Below are 25,295 nucleotides of genomic sequence, written 5' to 3' on the forward strand. Positions count from 1 at the left end.
TTTTGATTTTAATTTCAATGAATTAATTGGTATCATAAGTCCAAAGACATTATCAATATGGATCTACCTTATTAGTTGCTTTACTGAAAAAGCTTGGTTAAATAGTTCTTGAATAATTTTGTCATTGGTCTGTAGGGCAGTGTGAGATGAGTGACCCCAGGTCATAAATTTATAGGGTCAGATATTGCCTTTATTTTAAATCATGATACGTATTTTGTTCATCGTGGGTTTTTTGCATTATTGTGATTTTTCAAAATACTAGATTGAAATATTATTTACCTTGCTTACTGAGATGTTTGGCACCCTGTTAAATTTTGCATCTGGGGCAAGCCTCCCACTTGCCTCAGCCTAGTCCCTGTCCTGTATGATCCTACATGGACCGCATCCACAGCTTATCCTTAAAAAAAAAAAAGAAACTCAAGCAGTCGCTTATTGTCAAATGTACAGGGTAAATCAAGCTGTAGCAGCAAGGGCTTGGAAATGGCTGAATGTTGGAGGAAATGGCTCTGGGGTTGATAGGGTAAATGTAATCCATGTCCACAGGACAGGCAAGACTCCCCAGCTTATAATATTTCTGAATGACCAATGTTCTCCCAGGACAGCAGGAGGTTTGAAAGGTTCATTATCTCTTTCAATTACTAGCTTTCCCATTTAGTACCCTGGAGCAATCATTAACTAAAGAGTTCACCATCAATAAGCCAGAAAATATTTATTAAGCTCTGAGGACACATGCAAACCGGTGCTGGTGGCTATGACAAATACAGCAGAAGCACTGAGCATGGACTTGGATTTTCTATAGCCACAGTCTATTTGGGTAGATAAGATATACAATCTTGGTCCATTTTGAGAAAAATATGAAACCCACTGGAACATTTCATGAGGTTTTCTGAGCTATTGAAAGGGGATTAGCCTGAATGACGTCACTGACTAGTATTAAAAAGCGTATACAATTTTGCCCTACCTCAGATGGATGTACGCTTTCTTTGTCCATAGGCAGAAGGTGGAAGAAGTGAAACCCCTGGAGGGCAGGCGGTATCATATCTATGAAAATGGCACATTGCAGATCAACAGAACCACCGAAGAAGATGCTGGGTCTTACTCATGTTGGGTAGAAAATGCTATAGGAAAAACTGCAGTCACAGCCAATTTGGATATTAGAAGTATTTTTATTTCACTGTTACTTTGCATGAATTGTCACATGGGTTCAGTCTGTCTTCATTTGCCCAAATGGAATAATACCATTTAAGTTGGAGTACCAGATAAAGTTCTTTGAACCGTTTTTCAAAATTCCTAGAATGGGTTTCATCTAAAAGATTATTGCAAGAACTACAGGGTATGCCCATGATATGTGCACAGCTTCATCCTATTTTAAGAGGCAGCCAGGTGTCTGTAGTGACAGATGGCTGTCAATATTTAAAAATTACCTATTAACCATACTACACCATATTTCTGTAACTATATTTTATTTCCAAAGCTAACTCAAGGTAATGGTAACAGTAATCAAGTTTTTGAGCTAAAGATTTCACAAACTCATAACTTTATAATGACTGAGGCATGACAGAATGAGGAGGGTTTTTGATCCTCTTTTTGAGTCATAAACAGCTTTGTATTATTCCTTCTCACTTCAGGGCACAGTCCTGGGAGCTGTTAATAGTTTCTTGGGCTTCACTGATATTTTGATTTTAATATTGCTCAGAGAATCTTCAAGAAAACACAAAATGGAAAGGATCTTCGGTATTAATAAGGAGCATTTTTGTTTCTTCTGTCGTGTCCATATCCCAGCCTGCTTCTCACTTCCACCTAGATAAGGGAGAGCATATTTGTTTGATCATCTGTTTTCACTGATGCCACTTTTCCTCATACATATCTGCTGTTGTATCCACTGATGTCTTGACATTTCTTTCTCTCTTCCCATATATATCCTTCCTTCCTTCTTTTTTCATCCTGTTTTCCTTTTCTTTTGCTGTACATCCTTTTCTTATTTTATAGCATTTGTCTCTTTCTGTGCCCTGAGTAAATCAGTGTGCCAGCCCCACAGACTATATTTTTAAAGCACTCAAATACTCTCCCACAATATCTACTTATCTCTGATGTCTTTTACATTTTCAAGTGTCATGTACACTTTTCAAGATGCCCTCATGAAGTCACTGAAGATGGTGATGATTGTTTTTATACTTCAAAAAGTAAACCTATATCAAGGTTAAGCAACTCAGCTAGGTGTAAGGAGCGTGAAGCCTCGAATCCAAATGGAACTTTGCACTCCTATTGCCCAATACAGTGCTTGGCCCAAAATGGACCTCAAAACTGCTAGTGGCCAGAGAGATGGACAAGTTTAGAAAGTTTCAATATGCTGTAGTGTCTATTTTATATGTTAAAAATATATACGAATCGTATCAATGGAGGATTAAGGACACTTTTTTTTTTACATATACAAAAGGCATGTTGAGAATGGAGTTAAGTGAGAGCCTATATAGTATAGTGATTGAGAGCATGAGCTTTAGTCTCAGGCAGATTTGGGTTCAAATCCTGGTTCAGCCCATTCCCGGTTAGGAAACCTTGTCTTATGGCTCAATTTCATTTTAGCCTTAAATTATTTTCTCTGTAAGGTGGGAGTATTAATATTCATAAAGTTGTTATAATTATAAAATGCCACAATGAATATGCATTACTTAGCAGAGCCCTGATAGAGAAGTGTTTATTAAATTGTATCTATTATTATTAAATGAATTTCTGGCTTTAAATTTAGAATTAGAAGTAGGATGTCAAATAATTCACTTAAAATTAATTCAATTTAATAGTCTCTTCAAGTTTTGTGCCTGGAATAACAATTAATTTTATTAATACTTTCCATTTTTAGCCAGTTCCTTGAGAAAAATGTACATAGCCAATATCAGAGTATAATTATAGAATTGGAGGTCAGCTTGTGCAGTTGGTCTCTGGGAGGTCCCCAAAATGCCAAATGCCACATTAAGAGTATACTTACTTTTAATAGGGCATTAAAGAGTAAGGATTGCACGTTTTGAAACAATCATAATGAACCAAACATTTTCTTAAGGCAGCCATAAACCAATCTTTGAGTTTCATAATGTTGATAACTACAAATTTATTTTTGTTTCAAACTATCACTCCCTGTAATTCATTCAAAAGGAGACTTAACACTATGTATTGAATGCCTACGGTGTACAGGCTCCCTTCTAGGCTCTGGAGACACTGCAGTGTCATGAAACAGTCACAGGCCCTACTTCCCTGAGGCTTGCTTTCTAGTTCCCCACCTTCATGTTAATAGTTCATCCATTCATGGGCTTAAACATTTACCCTCAGGTTTCTGAATTAATAATAAACACCCTAACAGAAAATCAAATATCTTTCCCTTTTCCTTTACAGTGCTTTGATTATATATCCAGAAGCACTTGAAGGAGAAATTATGTTATTTTCAACTTCTAGAGACATTTGTTTGCTTATACTTTGCTTACTCCCTTCCCCAAGAAATAATGAGGGAAATTCCTAAACTATTAGTTGATATTTCCACTTAAATTTTGTCAGATGTCCAAGCCTGGATGGAAAGAAAATAATAATGACATACAATGTTAGGAAATTACAGTGGGACAAACCCTGCATGAGGATTGGACAGTTATGGTGACAATTTGGGTTACTTAACTTGCAGGCACTTAATAACAAAGTAAGTTACGCTTAGTTCTAACTAATATCTTTGTTTGGTAAAAACAGATGCTACAAAACTTAGAGTTTCTCCTAAGAATCCTCGTATCCCCAAATTGCATATGCTTGAATTACATTGTGAAAGCAAATGTGACTCACATTTGAAACACAGTTTGAAGTTGTCCTGGAGTAAAGATGGAGAAGCCTTTGAAATTAATGGCACAGAAGATGGCAGGTAGGTAAACTATTATGATATGTCATAATATTTGCTTGGGGTAAACAACTTGCATTTGATTTAAAAAGTTCTAGGTCGGGCATGCTGACTCACGCTTGTAATCCCAGCACTTTGGGAGACCGAGGCGAGTGGATCACTTGAGGTCAGGAGTTCGAGACTAGCCTGACCAACACGGTGAAACCCCGTCTCCACTAAAAATACAAAAATTAGCCGGGCATGATGGCACGTGCCTGTGATCCCAGCTACTCGAGAGGCTGGTGCACAAGAATCACTTGAACTCAGGAGGCGGAGGTTGTGGTGAGCTGAGATCACACCACTGTACTCCAGCCTGGGGGACAGAGAGAGACTCTGTCTCAAAAAAAAAAAAAAAGTTCTTAAAGCATTCATACAGAAACAAAAACAAAAACTGAGTAATATTTCTGTCTTCAAGTCACTTCACTCTGCTATCATATGTTTATCATCCTGTTTTTGCTACTGACTTTTCATGTAACATGTACCATTCTATTAGTGTGTGAAATGGAAACCACTCTAAGTAACCGAGGAAGAATTGCATGGGCTTGGATGGTTGCAAAAAAAAAAAAAAAAAACTGGAGGAGCTAGGCCTAGAAGAGGCTGCATACTAGTCTTCTAGGTTCTTGATCACAAAGCACTGCAGCTGCAATCCAGGTGTCTGGAAACTGCTGCCATCTTCATGGCCACCTCACCCCATTGGTACTACTCGTGAGTCCTGCCACTGCCACCTCTCATGTCTGCCAGAACCACTGTCTGCTCCCACTGGCCCAGAGAAGATGGCATCCATTTTCCTTCTACTTTTCAATCTCACATGAGTTTATTTAACTCACTAGCAAAACCTAAATCATATCTGGGATTCTTCCTGCCAGAGAGTACTGAGAAGTACACCTTTGAGTCTTCCAAACTCTGTATAGAGAATATAGACAAAATATAAAAGAGAACATATAGAGGAAAGTGTGAATGGATGCTTAATAGCACTAGATGATATTAAGTACATCAAAGAAATAAAAAGTCAGCATTTGCTGAATGTCTACTCTCTTTTGAAAATATGAGAAAGTCAGCTTCGCGTCCTTTTGCATTGTTACTAAGTAAGGGTTAAAACTTAACCATCTTGGAGCCAAATCTCCCCTCTCATTAATTTTGTAATTTATTACCCTGTAAAACTACAAATCTGAAAATGTTTAGATAGGACATGTGCTGCTTGCATGAGACAGCAACACTGCCATGGGTAAGATCATGAACTCTGAAGCTCAATGGCTCAGATTCAAATCTCAGCTCAGTCACTTATTAGATCTTTGAACTTAGACAAGCTGCTTAACATCTTTGTGCTTTAGTTTTAAATCCCATAACATAGTTTGAATTAAAAGTATTAAAAAGGTACTTTCATTATAGGGTTAACAATACCAAGTACTTAGAAAACATTAACATACAGAGCACTTAGAAAATACCAACTGCACAGTCCATTTTTGCTTTTGTGATTTGTACTGCTAATTTCTTCATTTTTTTCCTTATGACAAATTTCTTTTTTTAATTTTTGTTTTTCTTTACATCTTCATTAAAAAATGGGATACATGAACAGAACATGCAGATTTGTTACATAGGTATACATGTGCCATGATGGTTTGCTGCACCTATTGACCTGTCCTCTAAGTTCCCTCCCCTTGCCCTCCACACCCCAAAAGTCCCTGGTATGTGTGATTCACCTCTCTGTGTCCATATGTTCTCATTGTTCTTCTCCCACATGTTTGCTGATGATGATGGCTTCCAGCTTCATCCATGTCCCTGAAAAGGACATGATCTCATTCCTTTTTATGGCTGTATAGTATTCCATGGTGTATCTGTACCACATTTTCTTTATCCAGCCTACCACTGATGGGCCTTGGTATCGGTTTCATGTCTTTACTATTGTAAATAGTGCTGCAATAAACATATATGTGTATGTGTCTTTATAGTAGAATGATATATATTCTGTTGGGTATATACCAAGTAATGTGATTGCTGGGTCAAATGGTATTTCTGGTTCTAGATCCTTGAGGAATCACCACACTGTCTTCCACAACGGTTGAACTAATTTACATTCCCACCAACAGTGTAAAAGTGTTCCTTTTTCTCTGCAGCCTCACCAGCATCTGTTGTTTCTTGACTTTTTAATAATTGCCATTCTGACTGGCATGAGATGGTATCTCATTGTGGTTTTCATTTGCATCTCTCTGATGATCGGTCATGTTGAGCTTTTTTTCATATGTTTGTTGGCCATGTAAATGTCTTCTTTTGAGAAGTGTCTGTTCATATCCTTTGCCCATGTTTGATGGGGTTGTTTGTTTCTTATAAATATGTTTAAGTTCCTTTTAAATTAAGAATATTAGACCTTTGTCAGATGGGTAGTTGTAAAAATTTTCTGTCATTCTGTAGGTTGCCTGTTCGCTCTGATGATAGTTTCTTTTGCTGTGCAGAAGTGCTTTAGTTTGATTAGATCCCATTTGTAAATTCTGGCTTTTGTTTCAATTGCTTTTGCCATTTTCATCATGAAGTCTTTGCCCATGCCTATGTACTGAATGGTACTGCCTAGGTTTTCTTCTAGGGTTTTTAATGGTTTTGGGTTTTATATTTAAGTCTTTAATTCATCTTGAATTAATTTTTGTTTAATGTGTAAGGAAGGGGTTTACTTTCAGTTGTTTGCACATGGCTAGCCAGTTTTCCCAGCACCATTTGTTGAATAGGAGATCCTTTCCCCAGCGCTTCGATTTGTCAGTTTTGTCAAAGATCAGATGATTATAGATGTGTGGTGTTATTTTTGAGGTCTCTGTTCTGCTCCATTTGTCTATATGTCTGTTTTCATACCAGTACCATGCTGTTTTGGTTACTGTCGCCTTGTAGTGTAGTTTGAAGTCAGGTAGCGTGATGCCTCCAGCTTTGTTCTTTTTGCTTAGGATTGTTTTGTCTATATGGGGTCTTCTTTGATTCCATATGAAATTTAAAGTAGTTTTTTTTCTAATTCTGTGTAGAATGTCAATGGTAGTTTGATGGGAATAGCATTGAATCTATAAATTACTTTGGGCAGTGTGGCCATTTTCGTGATATTTATTCTTTGTATCCATGAGGATGGGATTTTTTTTTTTCATTTGTTTATGTCCTTTTTTATTTCCTTGAGCAGTGGTTTGTAGTTCTCCTTGAAGAGGTCCTTTGCATCCCTTGTTAGCTGTATTCCTAGGTATTTGATTCTCTTTGTAGCAATTGTGAATGGGAGTTCATTTATGATTTGGCTCTCTGCTGGTCTATTGCTGGTGTAAAGGAATGCTTGTGATTTTTGCACATTGATTTTGTATCCTGAGACATTGCTAAAATTGCTTATCAGTTCAAGGAGTTTTGGGGCTTAGACAACGGGGTTTTCTAAATATAAAATCATGTCATCTGCAAACAGACAATTTGACTTCCTCTCTTCCTATATGAATACCCTTTATTTTTTTCTTTTGCCTGATGGCCCTGGCCAGAACTTCCAATACTATGTTGAATAGGAGTGGTGAGAGAGGGCATCCTTGTCTTGTACTAGTTTGCCAAGGGAATGCTTCCAGCTTTTGCCAATTCAATATGATATTGGCTGTGGGTTTATCATAAATAGCTCTTATTATTTTGAGATGTGTTCCATCAATAACTAGTTAATTGACAGTTTTTAACATGAAGGAATGATGAATTTTATCAAAGGCCTTTTCTGCATCTATTGAGATAATCATGTGGATTTTGTCTTTGGTTCTGTTTATGTGATGAATTACATTTATTGATCTGAATATGTTGAATCAGCCTTGAATCCCAGAGATGAAGCTGACTTGTTCATGGTGGATAAGTTTTTTGATGTGCTGCTGGATTTGGTCTGCCAGTATTTTATTGAGGATTTTTGCATCAATGTTCATCAGTGATGTTGGCCTGAATGTTCCTTTTTTTGTGTGTCTCTTCCTGGTTTTGGTATCAGGATGATGCTGGCTTCACAAAATTATTTAGGGACGAGTCCCTTCTTTTCAATTGTGTGGAATAGTTTTAGAAGGAATGGTATCAGCTCCTCTTTGTACTTCTGGTAGAATTCGGCTGTCAATCCATCTGGTCCTGGGCTTTATTGGCTGGTAGACTATTAATTACTGCCTCAATTTCAGAATTTGTTATTGCTCTATTCAGGGATTCAACTTCTTCTGGATTTAGTATTGGGAGGGTGTATGTGTCCAAGAATATGTCCATTTCTTCTAGATTTTCTAGTTTATTTGCATAGAGGTGTTTATAGTATTCTTTGATGGTAGTTTGCATTTCTGTGGGGTCAGTGGTGATGTCCCCTTTATCATTTTTTATTGTGTCTATTTGATACTTCTCTCTTTTCTTCTTTATCAGTCTAGCTAGTCATCTATCTATTTTGTTAATTTTTTCAAAAAAAAAAAACCAGCTCCTGGATTCATTTATTTTTTTGGAGGGTTTTTCATATCTCTGTCTCCTTCAATTCTGCTCTGATTTTAGTTGTTTCTCTTGTCTTCTGCTAGCTCTTGGATTAGTTTGCTCTTGCCTCTCTGGTTCTTTTAATTGTGATGTTAGCATGTGAATTTGAGATCTTTCTAGCTTTCTGATGTGGGCATTTAGTGCTATAAATTTCCCTCTTAACACTGCTTTAGCTGTGTCCCACAGACTCTGATACATTGTGTCTTTGTTCTCATTGGTTTCAAACTTCTTAATTTCTGCCTTAATTTCATTATTTACCTAGGAGTCATTCAGGAGCAAGTTTATCAATTTCCATGTAGTTGTGTGGTTTTGCGTGAGTTTCTTAATCCTGAGTTCTAATTTGATTGCATTGTGGTCTGAGAGACGGTTTGTTATAATTTACGGTTTTTTGTATTTGCTGAGGAGTGTTTTACTTCAAATTATGTGGTGGGTTTTAGAATAAGGGTGATGTGGTGCTGAGAAGAATGTATATTCTGTTGATTTGGGGTGGAGAGTTCTGTAGATGTCTATTAGGTCTGCTTGGTCCAGAGCTGGGTTCAAGTTCTGAATATCTTTGTTAATTTTCTGTCTCATTGATCTGTCTAATATTGACAGTGGGTTGTTAAAGTCTCCCACTATTATTGTGTGGGAGTCTCAGTGTCTTTGTATGTGTCTCTAAGAACTTGTTTTATGAATCTGGGTGCTCCTGTATTGGATGCATATATATTTAGAATAGTTAACTCTTCTGGTTGAATTGTTCCCTTTACCACTATGTAATGCCCTTCTTTGTCTTTTCTGATCTTTGTTGGTTTTAAGTTTGTTTTGTCAGAGACTAGGATTGCAATCCCTGCTTTGTTTTGCTTTCCATTTGCTTGGTAAATTTTCCTCCATCCCTTTATTTTGAATCTATGTGTGTCTTTGCATGTGAGATGGGTCTCCTGAATACAGCACACAGATGAGTCTTGTCTCCTTATCTGATTTGCCAGTCTGTGACTTTTAATTTGGCTACTCAGTGCATTTACATTTAAGGTTAGTATTGTTATGTGTGAATTTGATCCTGTCATCATGATGCTGTTTGGTCATTTTGCTCATTAGTTGGTGAAGTTTCTTCATCATGTCATTGGTCTTTATATTTTGGTGTGTTTTTGCATGACTGGTTCTGGTTTTTCCTTTCCATATTTAGTGCTTTTTTTCGGGAGATCTTGCAAGGCAGGCCTGGTGGTAATGAAATCTCTCAGCATTTGCTTGTCTGGAAAGGATTTTATTTCTCCTTCACTTGTGAAGCTTAGTTTGACAGGATATGAAATTCTGGGCTGAAAATTCTTTTCTTTAAGAATATTGAATATTGGCCTCCACTCTCTTCTGGCTTGTAGAGTTTCTTCTGAGAGGTCCACCGTTAGTCTGATGGGTTTCCCTTTGTAGGTGACCTGGCCTTTCTCTCTGGCTGCCCTGAGCATTTTTTCCTTCATTTCAGCCTTAGAGAATCTGATGATTATGTGTCTTAGGGTTAATCTTCTCATGGAGTATCTTAGTGGTGTACTCTGTATTTCCTTAATTTGCATGTTGGCCTGTCTTGCTAGGTTTGGGAAGTTCTCCTGGATAATATCCGGAAGTGTGTTTTTCAGCTTGTTTCCATTCTACCCATCTCCTTCAGGTACTCCAACCAGTTGCAGGTTCAGTCTTTTTATGAAGTCCCGTATTTCTTGAAGGCTTTGTTCATTCCTTTGCATTCTTTTTTCTCTAGTCTTGTCTGCACACTGTATTTCAGCAAAGTGGTCTTCAAAATCTCATGTCCTTTCTTCCACTTGGTAGCTTTGGCTACTGATACTTGTGTATGCTTCATGAAGTTCTCCTGCTGTGTTTTTCAGCTCCATCAGGTCATTTATATTCCTCTCTGAAATGGTTATTCTAGTTAGCAGCTCCTGTGACCTTTTATCAAGGTTCTTAGCTTCCTTGCATTGGGTTAGAACATTCTCCTTTAGGTCAGCATAGTTTTTTATTACCCATCCTCTGAAGCCTACTCCTGTCAATTCATCTGCCTCATCCTCCATCCAGTTCTGCGCCCTTGGTGGAGAGACATTGTGATCACTGGGAGGAGAGGGGTTTTTAGCATTTTTTTTGTTGATTCTTTCTCATCTTCATAAATTTGTCTTCCTTCTATCTTTGAGGCTGCTGACACTTGGATGGGGTTTTTTGTGGGAGATTTTGTTGTTGATGCTGTTGTTGTTGCTTTCTTTTCTTTCTTTTTTTTTTTTCTTTCAATGGTCAGGTCTACCTTCTGTAGGGCTGCTGCAGTTTGCTGGGGGTCCACTTCAGTCCCTATTCATCTGGTTCACGCCTATGCCTGGAGATGTCACTCAAGGAGGCTGGAGAACAGCCAAGATGGGTGCCTGCTCCTTCTTGTGGGATCTCAGACCTCAAAGGTCACCAACCTGTTGGCAGTAGGATCACTCCTATATAGGGTGTCTGACAAGCCCTCTTGGAGGGTCTCACCCAGTTGGGTGGCACGGGGAATAGGACCCATCTAATAAAGCACTTTGTCCCTTGGTGGAGGGGATGTGCTTCACTAGGGGGAAACCGACTTGTCTGGGCTGCCTGGATTCCTCAGAACTACCAGGAGGAGACGCTAAGTCTGCTGGTCTGCAGAGACCATGGCCACCCCTCCCCCTAGGGGCTCAGGCCCAGGGAGATCTGGATTCTGTCCCTGAGCCTCTGGCTGGAGTTATTGGAGTTCCTGCAGGGAAGCCCCACCCAAGGAGGAATGATGGGTCAGGGTCAGGCCTGAAAAGGCACTCAGGGTCAGGCCTGAAGAGGCATTGATTCTGCCACAGTGGGTGTGTTGGGCTGTGGGGGACGTGTCTTGGGACCAAGCCATCCAGCCTCCCTGGCTCCAGCAGGGGAGAAAGCACAGCCTGGAGCTACAGATATGAATGTTGCCTCTCCCCCACCCAGGGAGCTTAGCGTGTTAGGCAGTTGTGATTCCCAGTGCTGGCTGCTGCCCCTCTTCTAAGGAGCTCAAATGGCTTAGGAAGCAGGCAGCTGCAGCTGTGGGGCTGGCCGCCCCTCCACCAGGAGCTCGGTAGGCTTAAGCAGATTCCAGCTGAAAGGCTGTTGAGAATCTGTGGGGCTTCGGGGTTGTGATGCTAGACCCAGTGGCTGGAGTTTGTGAGTGGGGTCTTCCAATCCATGGGTTTCACAGTTCTGTGGAAAAAGCTGGGTAGCACATTCACTCACCGCCTCCCTTGGCTGGGGGGAAGGGTCTCCCCTGCCCCGTGCGGCTCTCAGGTGGACCACTGCACCACACTGTTCTTCCCTCCTCTCCGCGGATCATGCCAGCCTCCTAGTCAGTTCTTCTAAGAGAAACCTGGATACCTTGGTTGCCAGGGAAGGATTCACACACTTACTATAGTTCTTTTCCATGGGAGCCTCCGAACACAGCTGTTTCTAGTTCGCTATCTTGGTCCTGCTCCCTGCCTCCGCCTCCCCCAGCCCCCACCGCCCCACTGCCTTCATTTCTTCATCTGCTTGTCTCATTTCTGTTGCTTGCTTGGTCTATGTTGGTATTTATGTGTGAGCCGCCTCTATGCAAAGGCATTGGTCTCAGCCTTGGTTCTTGATTTATTCTCTCCCCTCCTTCCGATATATACAAAGGTTTGCAGAAAGGCAGTGTATGTATTACAACCAGTTCTCATTGAAACACGAGATTAATTATATACCTCTAAAGGCTACGCTTTGCAATACAGATCTCCAGCCTCAGGTTAGGTCTCCGCTGATCTGCCAACTGCTCAGATATGCCTAAATTCTGCCTCTTTTGTTACTACTGCCTGACTATCCGGGGTCTTCCATGTGACCTCTGGGCTACAGCCAAGAAGGGAATCAGAGACCCATGGCTGGTGGGTAATATGACATGGACATTTAGGCTTTGACCCCAGAAGCCCTAAGCAACCTTTTCATGTGACCCAGTTTTACAGTTCCTGCAGGATCCCAGAGCTGACACTGAAATGAACCTCTGGCTATCTGAGTGGACTGAGCAAGTGACACAGATGTTCTGCCAATTTCCCTAAACAAGTAACAGGGATAAAGGACAATAACCTTAGCTCAGAAGAGGCCCCAGGAGCAAGGAAGCCTGGGAGTAACTGCTGCTGGCTGGCCTTGACTGCTGCCAAGGGCATGCACGGTGATATAGCAGGGAGTAGAAGTCACAGGTATCTGCTAATTTTCTACAAAGCCATATCAGTAACCTCATACTTCTTACCTTCTGCTGAGACACCTTCTCCTTATTACTATGCAGAAGACCGGAAGCTTTAACCTAAAGGGAGGTTAAACTTCTAATCAAATATACATGGTGAACAATGAGAAGTGAAAATTCCTTCTTCTCTTCTCGCTTGTCCCCTTTCTTGTGTAGGGATGCAGTAAGTGCTGGGAACTGCCACTCTGAACCATTAGACCTACGGGGCTTCATGTTATGTTAGTACTTCCCATACATGCTTTCTCTCTTTAGGCCTCCCAATAATACTATTAGGTAGATTGAAATGCCCCCCCAGGAATTTTCTGTGGATTTCCTACCTGCAGGTGGCCATAGACCATACAGGCTATAGACCATACACTATGGTTATGAAAAATGAAATGGAGCATGGCTATGAAACCATTTTTAGAATTTATATCGTGCTTAACAAAGGTAATGGGGACTGTTCATGACTGTAGGCAAAGGGAGGGACCTAGTCCTGTGGGAGAGACCACTGTAGCATGAAAAGTGGGATATACTGATAACTAGGAGGGCGTGGGAGGAAAGGGCATTGAGAATCCAGTGGGAGGGTTTTTCCTTGGCACCAAATAGGAGCTGCTTTTTTCCCCCTCCAGAAATAGTGGCAAATTAATGAGGGAAGGGGAGAAGTTGAAGATGCAAAGATGAAGATGCAGTCATAGTGAAAGGTCTCTTTCTAACAAATTAGGAAATAAGGTAATTTGTTCAAGCAGAGAGGCAGGAGAAATGGGAGTTGGGGACATTAAAACACCAACCATGAGAAATGTGATTAGCAATAAGCCAAAAATGAATGAAATCAACTTGATTAATATTATTAGTAACACTCTCTGAGCACATACTCTGCCAGGCTGTATGCACTAATCACTTTATGTGCTTTACCTCATTTAATTCTCCTAAAGAGAAAGAAAATATTGTTATCCCCATTTTTCAGATAAGATGAATTAGGCTCAATGTTTTGTTCAAGGTTGTACAAATAATAATTGATGGAACTGAGCCGCAAACACAGGTCTCCAAAGAGAGAATCGTTTTGTCATAGTGCCTTCAGGGAAACACGGATATTACTCAGCTGAACAGGGTAAGACAACAATGGCTGCTGACATGGATTAGGGACTAGCAGACTGGATACCGCAGATGAAGGAGTCGAGTGGTTTTAGTGGATAGATTTCTCAGGCAAGGTAATTAAGCAGATGAAGGCAAACAGAGGAAAAGATTGGGGCACGAAGATGTGAAGAGGTTTTTAGCTTCTTCTAAGAGTTCAAGTGTTATGAGAGTAGAAATGATACAACTTTTTAAAGCAGAATCCCAGCTGACCTATGATGGGAACATAATGTGAGGGAGGAATAAGTGACTGTTTTCTTGGGCATGGGGAATTTGGAGCTGTCTGTTACTGCAGCACACCATAGTGTGACCCCGTGTGTGATTTTCTGTGTGACCCTATGTGTGACAACTATTTGTGATTTTGACATGTGACAGAATTATCCAGGCTTCATGTTCAAATGCAATGGCCCTTGCCCCATCTCCAAATGTACTGATTTGGAACCTGGACTGAGGCTGGAACACGACATTTTTAATAAGTTCTTTAGGTATACCATACCTACCACATTTCGAGGACTAGTGAGGCACCCAACGTTGATTAATTGGAGGCACCTAAGATACATTTGTGAGACTGGAAACAAGGCATAGTGCAACCATGACTTGCCAAAAAAATTGGTAGCTTTCTTCTCTGGCCTGAAACACCCCGTGCCAGGGTATAAATCTTGGCAAGATTTCAGCTACTATGGGCCCTCGTGCAGGGCACAGAAGTCCTATTTCAAGAGGTTATTAAAGTATATTCTTTCATCTAAGAAGGTACATTTTTCAAAAATTGTCAGGATATGCAGTATTCTAATATTGTATCAAATGGACACCTGAGTAACATGACCTGACATGTTAATTCATGTCAAAGTTTTATTATGTCTAGAATTATGGTGAGATTCTTGATTAACAATTCAAGGTAATATTGGTTGGCAAATCTTTCTATTATTGGTGTAGGAATAAGGGCTGATTCTGTCTATAATCAAAATAACTATGTTTCATTACACTGCAATTTAAAGTAGGTTTATATAATTCAAAATTCTCAGCATTTTATATGAAATGTACATAAAAATATTAATTATGTGAGCCTCCTTTCCTCCTCACAAGGATGACACTATTTAAGTTATTTCAACAAAATGCTAATTATTATGAATACATTTTAAATTTTACGGAACTTGAAAAATACTTTAATAGTTATCTCAACAATGGTACGGGGTAAAAGGTGAAGTTTATAAAGAAGCAGTTTTCTCATAGTAAACCTGATCACAAATTGGTAAAAACAAATGATAAAAAGTGAGGTGAAATGATTTGCAAAAAGAAGTACTACACTGCCATCTTCTGTTCAAATAAGTCATATGCTTCAATTGCTATCTGATCTTAATGTGCATTGTACTTGGGAGTGGAGGGGCGGAGAAAAGAGAAACTTGTGAAAAACTGAGATTATCCGACTCCTTCTCAGGTATTCTGGTTCTGTGGAATGGAGATGGAATTCAGGAATCTGCCTTTGTAGGAAGCACTCCAATCGAGCCTATATAGGTGATTCCCTAAACATACCTTAAGAATTACTCAAATATATCTTGGCCATTGTGAGGTATGATGCACTCTTTAAACATGCCAGGCAACATACAGTTCCATCACTGACCCATGCAAACAGATGGTTAGATTTCATAATTTTTAATGTGATTTTGTTTATGGCTATGTAGACAGTTGTGTATGCTAGAATAATTCTTTATCTCCAGGTTTCAACTGTGGCATTCTCTAATCAAATTTGCATTGCATAAAGTCATCTTTCACTCTTAGATTGTTTTCGATAAGGAATATGCATTTTTAAAAGAATTGGGTTTCTATCATTTCTATTGTTTTCCTTCTCATCATGTACTCACTTTTTTTCTGATAGGATAATTATTGATGGAGCTAATTTGACCATATCTAATGTAACTTTAGAGGACCAAGGTATTTACTGCTGTTCAGCTCATACTGCTCTAGACAGTGCTGCCGATATAACTCAAGTAACTGTTCTTGGTAAGTGCACTAACTAATGAGAAATCTGTTCATTTCTTCATTTCTGATTAAATCCCATCGTTCCTGGCCAATAAAGCTAATGATTCTTTGAGCCCCTGCACATATATTGTTAGTTTCAAATTTTTGTTTAAAAAGCAACACAACTTCAAATCCTTTCTCCTTTTTTCATATAAAAGAAATTAATTAATGCTTAATTTTTTTTCCCTACATGTGTTAATTTGCCAATAGCAGTGGGAGGTAAGTGATGCTATCCGCAGAAAGAAAAATAAAGCACGCTTGAGTTCCTAGCACTCTTGAGCTACTCTTTCCTGGTGTACAAAGAAATGGGGCTGAGGAATGGAGGTGGGCTAGACTGGAGGATCTCGATAGGGGTCAAGAGGTGGATGCACGGTGGTCATCTCTAAACCAAAGGCACAGACTGAGTTCCCAGGGTTCCAGGAAGGATGGAGAGGAACTTCCAGCATTCTACAAAGGAATGTCTTTGATTTTTGTCGTTGTTGTTGTTGATGAAAGTACTAATCAGGAAACAGTGTGCACACTTCACTAGTATAATCAATGCAATTACTCCTGAAATCACCAATGTTTAAAGCTCTTAGACCATCTGCTGGATGTTTTCCAAAATTTCCCTTCCAGATTCACTCTCTACCAGCTCTTTGACCTAGAAAGGTTGCTTTTAAGGACAACATCAGCAAACCACTTTCCTTCCAGCTATTATTTGGTTCAGCAAGTGGAGGGCCGTTTGGAGTGTTGTACTGATTCTCCCTACTCCATCCCTGTGGACTGGCTGTGTCCCACTGCCAAAGTCATGGCTTCTGCAGACAGGGTCTCCTCACACCATTCCTTCTGATGAGGCTCTAGCAGCTGCATCCCACCACCAATATTTCAAGTCTCTCTCACACCCAACCTACTGAACATCCTGCCCACATCTTTTTAAAGACGTTTTATTAAAACATTTTGGAACTATCGTAAATTTGTGTGAGTTATTCATTGATTTTCTGCAGGGACCCTAACAGCTACAGACATTTGTTCTGTTTCGGTGGCCACCATGTAGTCTTTCTTTTAGTTTGCAGACATTCCTTAAAAGTGTTGGTTTTGCCTACCCTTCTTTATCATATGTCTACATTAATCACTGTTATCAACAGACCTTTGTGTCTTTAGCACTCCAGCTGTTGGGGCCACCTGTTAGGTTCCAAACAAGGGAGGTGGTGGTACAGACCAAGGGAGAAAGTTCAGTCTCTTCTGAGAGACTGATAAAAAAATGGGTCAACAGGCTGGATCCCTTCAAGTAAAGCAAATGGCCAACCTGTCTCGGGCGAAACAAATGGCCATCAAGGTTGGGTTCTAAAATAAAAGAACAGTTTCCACTTACAGAAGGTATGGACTTGTAGAGTTGTCGAGTCGGCTCAGTAGAATTGTACCTTTAGGCAGAATGTTTGGCCATTGGGTATTTGAGCATTTTCAGGTCTTTACAAGCAGAAAGGTTTAATCCCCTAGGATGATTTCAACAATAATTCATCAGATAAAGTAGTCGAGCTTCAGATAAACTGGAATTCATCCCAGGCCTAGTGAGTAGAGGGGTAAGTGTCAGGCTCCGTGCGCTTTGTCCCTAAGTATTTTGAGCAGTCTCAGCCACCAAAAGGACCGGGTCTCCTACTGCTTGGTGCTCCCCTTCTCAATTTCCTTACAAAATTTAAAAGTTCATTCTTGCGATTAGGCTGCCATTTTTGGAACTATTAATTTTTTTAATTCTACATAAATTTTACCTACGATTATATGTACTGGTTATATACGCAGTAATCTACCAGTGTTTACAGAATAAAAATAAAAATAAATTTTGGAGAATATTATGTTTAAAATTTACATTCTTTTATTTTTTAGACAAACTTCTGATTTACCAAAGCATCTCTCGACAATTGACAATAAAAAAATAATTATATAGACACATACGAGGTTTCTAAAAGACTATGTTTTACCCCCTGGAAAACAATTTTTTAAAGTACATACTTGACCCCCTTTAATCAAAAGTTATTTTTAAAAGCCTTGACATAAACATGCTTTCAGGATATCATTTTTTAAAAGTTTCAGTTGCAAGTTCATCAGTTCTAGCTCCATACGATTCTCAGAAGAGCCAGATTTTAATATCAGATGCAATACACAGCCTTAGTTTATTCCAGGAAGCTTCAGAAATCAGTGGACTCAGTAAATACTGAAGAGAAACCAAAGTCCTCTGAGCTCAGAGATTCTGAAACCTGTTGAAGAATTAACTTTTTATTTATGGCTTTAATGTTTGGACACAGTCATGAACCACATTTTTTAAAAAACATGTTCTCTCTTCTGAATTGGAAACGATGCTTTTTGTCAATGTAAATTTCTAACAATTAGCAAATATTCAGGAGGAGCAATGGACGGTGCTTTCCACTTGGAGAAGAAAGAGCCCATTGAAAGGCTACATTAGATAATATCTTCCTTTTCTCTTCTGCTAAAAGATAAAAGTCCTCCAATGCTTGAGAGAATTCAAACCCAATTTTCAGAGTAAATACCATTAGAAATAAGATTTCTTTTTACTGTTGCTTTATTTTCAAAGTACCAGAAATTTTCATTTTCTTTAGTACTCAAAAATTTGTGATCATTTACTTACTTAATTTTCCAGTTTCTGTCACAACATTTAACAATGCCAAATCTCCCTGTTCTGATATAAACTGCCTTCCTACTCTTTTTGAGAACTCCAGGTTAAGACGGTATCAAAGTTGCTATAATGAAAATTCATTGTTATCAATAATGATAAAAATCCAACACAGTTGCAGAAAAGAAAGCAGAGCTCATGATCTCTTTTTCTATAACCATAAGACCTAATGTTTATTGCTTTAATATAATAATTATACACATGATTGAAGTAATAATATCTTTTTCACTGATTTATTTAGTTATAAAACATTTATGTGTGAGGCACTGTGGGCAATGCAAAGCTTAATAAAATATGACCCCTATTCTTGGAGATGAATCAGGCATATAAACAAATATGTACTGGACAAACAGAAATGATTCATTTGAGATACATCATGTTTCCCAGACTTGGGTATACCTAATCCCCATCCAAGGAACTTGTTTGCAAATGCAGATTCCTGGGCCCACCTTCCTCAGTAAGCCAGAAATAGGGCCTAGGAATTTTCATTGTTATTAACTACTCCTAAAAGAATTCTGATGTCCCTGGTCAAGGATAACCCCTTGAGACTGTAATCAGAGAAGAGGGAGGTAATATGGTCCATTGGGGAGGACATGTGGAGATGCTGCATTTTACAAAGAACCCCAGACCCCAGAGCCTGATGCGATTGAACACAGTGGAGACATGGGCCCAGAAAAGAAGGGTTTTTATGGAACCAAACTGGGGTCCACCAACCCAGTGCAGTAAGACCAGGTATCTATACTGAGGTTTGCAGTGGGAGAAAGGAAGACACTTATCTGCAGGGCACCAAACAAGAACTGGTCAGCTCATGCTTAAGTCCCAACCTCCCCAGTGGCTTGCAGGTGAAGGTATTTAAAAGCAGGAGTAAATTTCAGGAGAGCAAATGCTATAGGCAAAATAGTAAATTAGTACATTGAGGTTACACATTGCTTTATGCCTAAAAGGGTGAGGTATCTTGAACTGGAGTTGGGGCATGGCTTACAGGTCATAGGTGGATTCAAAGATTTTCTGATTTGCAATTGGTTAAGGAAGAGAAGCTTTGTTTAAAAATTGGGAGTCAGCCAAAAAGAATATTAGCTCTGGCTCATGGATGTGGCTCCCTTTAGGCCCTCAGGAAGAAATTTACAAAAAATGATGGTCAGAACTCAGACTTCAGTTTCCCCTTATCTGAGGTCTCCATGCCAGCAAAGTTATTTGGTGAGAGTCTGGGTTCCAGAAAAACAACTTAGAGACATATATTAAGATGTTATCTTCAGTTTCTATAGGAGAACCAAACATCCCTGTGATTCCAGCTTCCTTGGCTATTGTTTAAAGCTACTATTACCTCCGTTCTTATCAAGTTGTTTATTTACTTCTTAGGGCTAGCTAGGTGCCTGAATTACCCTTGAAACTCCACCTTTCCCTTCCATATGTGGGGTGGGGGGCGGGGGTGCTTCCCAGGTCCCTAAGAGGGTGGTACCTCCTCTGTCTCCGGGTAGCTGGCAATGTGTCTGAGGAAGGGAATCAGGTAAACAAAGGCAATTATCTACATTTTCCCTTCCTTTATTAATTAGATGTTCCGGATCCACCAGAAAACCTTCACTTGTCTGAAAGACAGAACAGGAGTGTTCGGCTGACCTGGGAAGCTGGAGCTGACCACAACAGCAATATTAGCGGTAGGAAGACTTGGGATAACTGTTTTCATTACTCTAGATAGTCAAAATTAATAGCGAAGTCACTTTTTAACCACTCTTACTGGTTTATTCTTCTTATAACATCCTTTTGAACTTTTAATATTGAGTATAAATTTTGGTATAACTTATCCATACTCCATACATTCTAATATTTTTTCCCTGTTTATACTACCAGAGTATATTGTTGAATTTGAAGGAAACAAAGAAGAGCCTGGAAGGTGGGAGGAACTGACCAGAGTCCAAGGAAAGAAAACCACAGTTATCTTACCTTTGGCTCCATTTGTGAGATACCAGTTCAGGGTCATAGCCGTGAACGAAGTAGGGAGAAGTCAGCCTAGCCAGCCGTCAGACCATCATGAAACACCACCAGCAGGTATGCAGGTTCTCACATCAGGTTTCTAACAAAATATTTGTTTGTCCCCATCTTTGAACATCTAAAAAAAAAAGATTGATAGAGTAATGTAGGATTTTAGATTTCTCCAAATAGTGTTAACAGTTCTCTAAACAGCACACAAAATATTCAAAGCACACAAGTTTCAGAAGTGTTACATACGAGTTCGATAAAAGCAGGAAATTAGGGGAGTGACATATGAAAAAAAAACATTACTTTCAGTAATTTTGTGATGGCTAAATATCAAGTTTAACCAGATATCATCAAGTAAGTTCTAAATTAAAATTCAATATGTATGCATCTAACATTATTAATTTTTATGCATTCAGTGTCTTTTCTTGTGTCTCAACATCAATCTAAATTTCCAAGATGCGTTTGAAAAAATCTCAAGGATGACTGCTAAAATTTGTATTACTGAATTGTTATTGATCATCAATGTGGTCATAGCATGATATTTTATTTTTCCTTGGCTAAAATAAATACTCTAGGACATAATTTCCTTTTTGGACTGAGAAAAAGCAAGTGAAGGTTATAACTGGATCAGATAGAAATTAACACTTGTGTGATTTTAGTGCATGTCAACCTTTGCACTAAACTCCACATTTAGCTATTTCTAATAAAACGAATCCATCTAAAAATATTCATGACTACTGTACAGGTTTTATTCATTTTGATGTCCTTAAAACTTGGCTGCTGATATTAATACATGGTGTTTACTTTATTCTTCTACAGGCAAATATTCACAACATATGTTTCTAATGACAATTCTAATAGAAAAAATAGAGCAGGCTTAAATTAAAATTTTTTTTTAAAAAAGCAGGTTCAGAATTTTAAAAAGCAGTTTTAAAAATTTTAAAAGCAGATTCAAAATTAAGACACATATACTAAACCATCTACTCTCCACTGGATAATAATTATTTCACTCCAAGAAGACTGTTTTACTCTTTTAAATAAAATACATATTTAAAATCTACCTTAAATCTTTTTAGGAACTGGACCAGATATAAATTAATAAGTACAATCAAACTTACTTAATTATCTGTGTTTTTGGGGGGCAGGAGTTGTGATATGATGACTTACCTATGGGTTAAAAGGAAAAATAATGTTAATGTTTTTAATTTTTCAGCTCCAGATAGGAATCCACAAAACATAAGGGTTCAAGCCTCTCAACCCAAGGAAATGATTATAAAGTGGGAGGTGTGTATTTCTTAATACGTTATGTATTTCTTTGTGCTTTTCTCTTCCTCTTAGGTCTGCATGCTAACTACAATGATAGCACAACATTTTTTTAAGAACAAAGATAAGATTTGGAAATGAAATTAACTTGTGAGTCATCATCACAAATTTTAAAGATCATTGTGATTAAAATGATGTTATGAAATCGAGTTTAACACTGGTCAACAATTTAGGGAAGATTATACAGATTGATTTAGTTGTAATACATTACCGAAGTTTCAAATTATTAATAATTTAATTAACAATATTCTAGATTCTCTTCCATTCAAAAAATACTGAAAATCTTTAATTAATTTAGTATAATCTACTAGATATTATGCATATCAAACTGATGAACCCCCATAAAGTATTCACTACTCATTAAACACCAGTAGACATTTTGTATTCTCCTTTCTAGTAATTCTGAGGATGGTCTTGTGAAGAAAGCATCATGAACGCCTTATTCTAGATCTGGAGATGGCATCCAGGATTATGAATGTCTTGCCCATCACCACACAACCAGAAATCCGCAAAGCTAGGATTTATGTATGAGGATCTTTGGACTCCAAACCTCACTTTTTCCTCCTTTACATATCTCGGTTAAATGTTATTAAATAGACTTCACCATTTGAATTTTGCATAAAAATGCCCATCTACCCAGATAATTTTAATTATTCTAGGGTCATTTCCAAATTTTTTCTGTAACAGTGGGGCATTTTATTTTCTCTCTACTACTTGGATGTATTTAATGACCAGTATATTGGCCTACCTAAAAGGAAATTATCATTCAACCATTCTGATGAGTAATAGGCCTCCAACATTGAATTTATAAAATTTTGTGTAAACATAGAACATTTTTAATGTATGCTGAAATATACTAATTTATTTCCACAATTCATTCCAGGTATAATTTTTGGGAGAATTTTAGAATGCACAAAGTTTAGTTTGCTTTTTATCCTCATATGTTGGTCTTTGTACTCATTACACAATCACATGGCCCATACCTGCAAAATATTTAGTCAATATTTTTTAGATCAAAATTAGATCTTTATTTCCACTTCAGTGAAATTAAGTTTTACAAGTTTAAGATGTGGAAAACTTTTTTTAAAATGGTAATACATAGAAATGAAATATATTCAATAATATTATTTCTTTCCTTGAATGTGTGGTTATAGTTACTACTACATTGTCTTGATAATTACTTAATTTATAGTCTAAAATGATGTTAGTCTTTTAGGGTGTATCTGTATTATCCTCCCTTAAGTTCCATAGAAATTTTCATAAAGTAGATAATATAGTTGGTTAGATATCAGTAATACTGTGTATTTGCCAGTCAGTTCCTCAGAGAAGCACATCATGTTCCAGTAACATTAGCTCATTAATCCTCACTACTCCTTTGGGAGGGCTGTGGTCCATGATGGTGTCAGTCTTATATGTCATAAAGAGAAACTGGGAATCTCAGAGTTTAATGACCTCACCCAGATGCCATGGGCTGAGTCATATGGAAAAAAGGCCAGAAATCTTCAGTCTTTTTGACTGCTCCTCTCACTCATAAGTCATTTTTTATTACCCCAAAGATACACAAGATTGATTATTAATGCTCTCTTCTTGTAAGAATGGGACTGTACTAAGAAAGCATCTATGGCCAGGTGCTGTGGCTCATGCCTGTAATCCCAGCACTTTGGGAGGCCAAGGCGGGCAGATCACAAGATCAGGAGTTTGAGACCAGCCTGGACAATATGGTGAAACTGCATCTCTACTAAAAATATAAAAATTAGCCAGGTGTGGTGGCACATACCTGTAATCCCTGCTACTTGGGAGGCTGAGGCAGAAAAATATCTTGAACCCGGGAGGTGGAGGTTACAGTGAGTTGAGATCATGCCACTACGCTCCAGCCTGGGTGACAGAGCGAGACTCTGTCTCAAAAAAAAAAAAAAAAAAGCATTTAAAATTGGTCTTTGAGGAGCAAACGACATGTCATTTAGTAATTAATTGACTAGAGGAAGGAAGTAGTCACAGGATTTGGATCTAGGCTGACAGTTACATTCCCAATATGTCCCATGGTGTCTCCTATTATCTTGATGTGTCAGAGATCTAATCACTACTGACACAGCCAGTGAAGTTTAAGAACATTCATTCACTGAGTATGGTTCTGTATGGATCATCCTGCGGAAAGGAGTTAGACTCCAGGTTTTTCCCAGTTTCACAATCAGATAGTATTGTGAATGAATTACCAGACCCCCTCCAGAGATGTACTAGAAATAATTCCTATCTACATGATAATGGTCAGAGGGACATAATTTGAAAAAAAAAAAAAAAAAGCTGATCTTTCCCAAAAGAATTAACAATGAAGATGAGCAGTAGGAACAGACTGGACATCCCTAATTTTTGTTTATTTGTTTATGTTTTACATTTAACATTAAACATGATTCAATTTAAAGTAACATTACAATTTAACTTAATGGTAGAACTAGGCTTTTTAGTTAGCATTACCTTCAGACATTCACTTCTCATATATTAAGTCGGTCATGACTCACTCATATATTTTGAGTGTTCGAACATCATAATGTTCTACTTGCAAAACAGGACAAAAGAGTCTACTGCAACCTTATCAGTTAAATACCTGTATCAGGATAATTTTTGCTTGAGAGTTTCCATTGTTCTTAAGCATATGTATGTGAATTTTTAACTTTGCTCAGCAAAATAACACATTTCAAACTTAAAGGACACCAAAAGCAAAACCAAAAGCCCAAAACCCCACTAATGTTGGGAAGCAGGAACATCTTTAATTACCTGGTTATATAATCGCATCCAAGATAGTTAACTCCTAATGGATCTAGGTTTTATTATTTATAATACAAGTATAATAAGAAGACCTACTGGCTTTAAAATGAAAATAAGTGGAATTAAATGAAATATTGTATAACATAATGACTATAGTAGATAACAATGTATTGTATTCTTGAAAATTGTTGAGAGACTAGGTTTTAAGTGTTCTCATCATAAAAAATAAGTATATGAAGTAACATATATTTTGAGTAGCTCAATTTAGCCACTCCACAATGTATACATATTTCAAAACATGTTGTACATAATAAGTAGATACAATTTTTGTTTCTCAAGAATAAATAAAAATGTTCAACAATTTTTTAAAAAATGGAATCAAGGCAGGACGGCAGTCTTTCTGTTTTCTAGATTAATAGTTATAACCTTGCTTGGGTCATAGATCTCTTTGAAACTATGTTGGACGTGCAAGCTCTTTTTCTAGAAAATTACACACAAAAAGTCATACTAACAATATCATTGGTTTCTCAGATCCTCTAAAGGATACACATGTACCCCATCTAGAGATTCCTACACCCCACGTTAAGAACCTCTTTTCTAAAGACTCCTTCCTCGTGGGCTCCTTCACGAGAGGCAGAGGGAAGGGAAGGCTGGTGGCCTCTTCCTGCTTACTCTGCCCTGGCTCCTTTTGTTCTTTCTTGAAGAGATTATTTGGGAAATGTCTGAGGCTCAGTAGGCATTGCCTTCAAGTCAAATACAAAGCATTCAGGCTGTTTATTTGGGTTCCCAGGTACTAAAAAGGCCGCTAATATAGCTAAAATATTTTTGTT

General features: G+C 38.2%; 1 protein-coding gene and 1 long non-coding RNA gene across 19 annotated transcripts in view; one reads left to right on the plus strand and one right to left on the minus strand.

Annotated features, from left to right (window-relative positions):
- CHL1 (cell adhesion molecule L1 like) overlaps window positions 1-25,295 on the plus strand; it is a 212,655-nt gene that overhangs the window by 165,461 nt on the left and 21,899 nt on the right. For all 18 annotated transcript variants that reach the window (XM_017005566.2, NM_006614.4, XM_017005572.2 and 15 more), the window contains 6 exons: window positions 994-1,160; window positions 3,727-3,892; window positions 15,595-15,719; window positions 19,956-20,057; window positions 20,251-20,448; window positions 21,593-21,663. In XM_017005566.2, the coding sequence (XP_016861055.1) occupies window positions 994-1,160; window positions 3,727-3,892; window positions 15,595-15,719; window positions 19,956-20,057; window positions 20,251-20,448; window positions 21,593-21,663 (829 nt within the window). The remainder of the gene's footprint in view (window positions 1-993; window positions 1,161-3,726; window positions 3,893-15,594; window positions 15,720-19,955; window positions 20,058-20,250; window positions 20,449-21,592; window positions 21,664-25,295) is intronic.
- Window positions 1,150-23,572, minus strand: CHL1-AS1 (CHL1 antisense RNA 1). Its single transcript, NR_110739.1, has 3 exons — window positions 23,480-23,572; window positions 20,344-20,509; window positions 1,150-1,800 (listed from the first exon to the last, which is right to left on the minus strand). It is a non-coding gene; the product is annotated as a CHL1 antisense RNA 1 (long non-coding RNA).

Source organism: Homo sapiens, chromosome 3 (genome assembly GCF_000001405.40).
Source record: "Homo sapiens chromosome 3, GRCh38.p14 Primary Assembly".
NCBI lineage: Eukaryota > Metazoa > Chordata > Mammalia > Primates > Hominidae > Homo > Homo sapiens.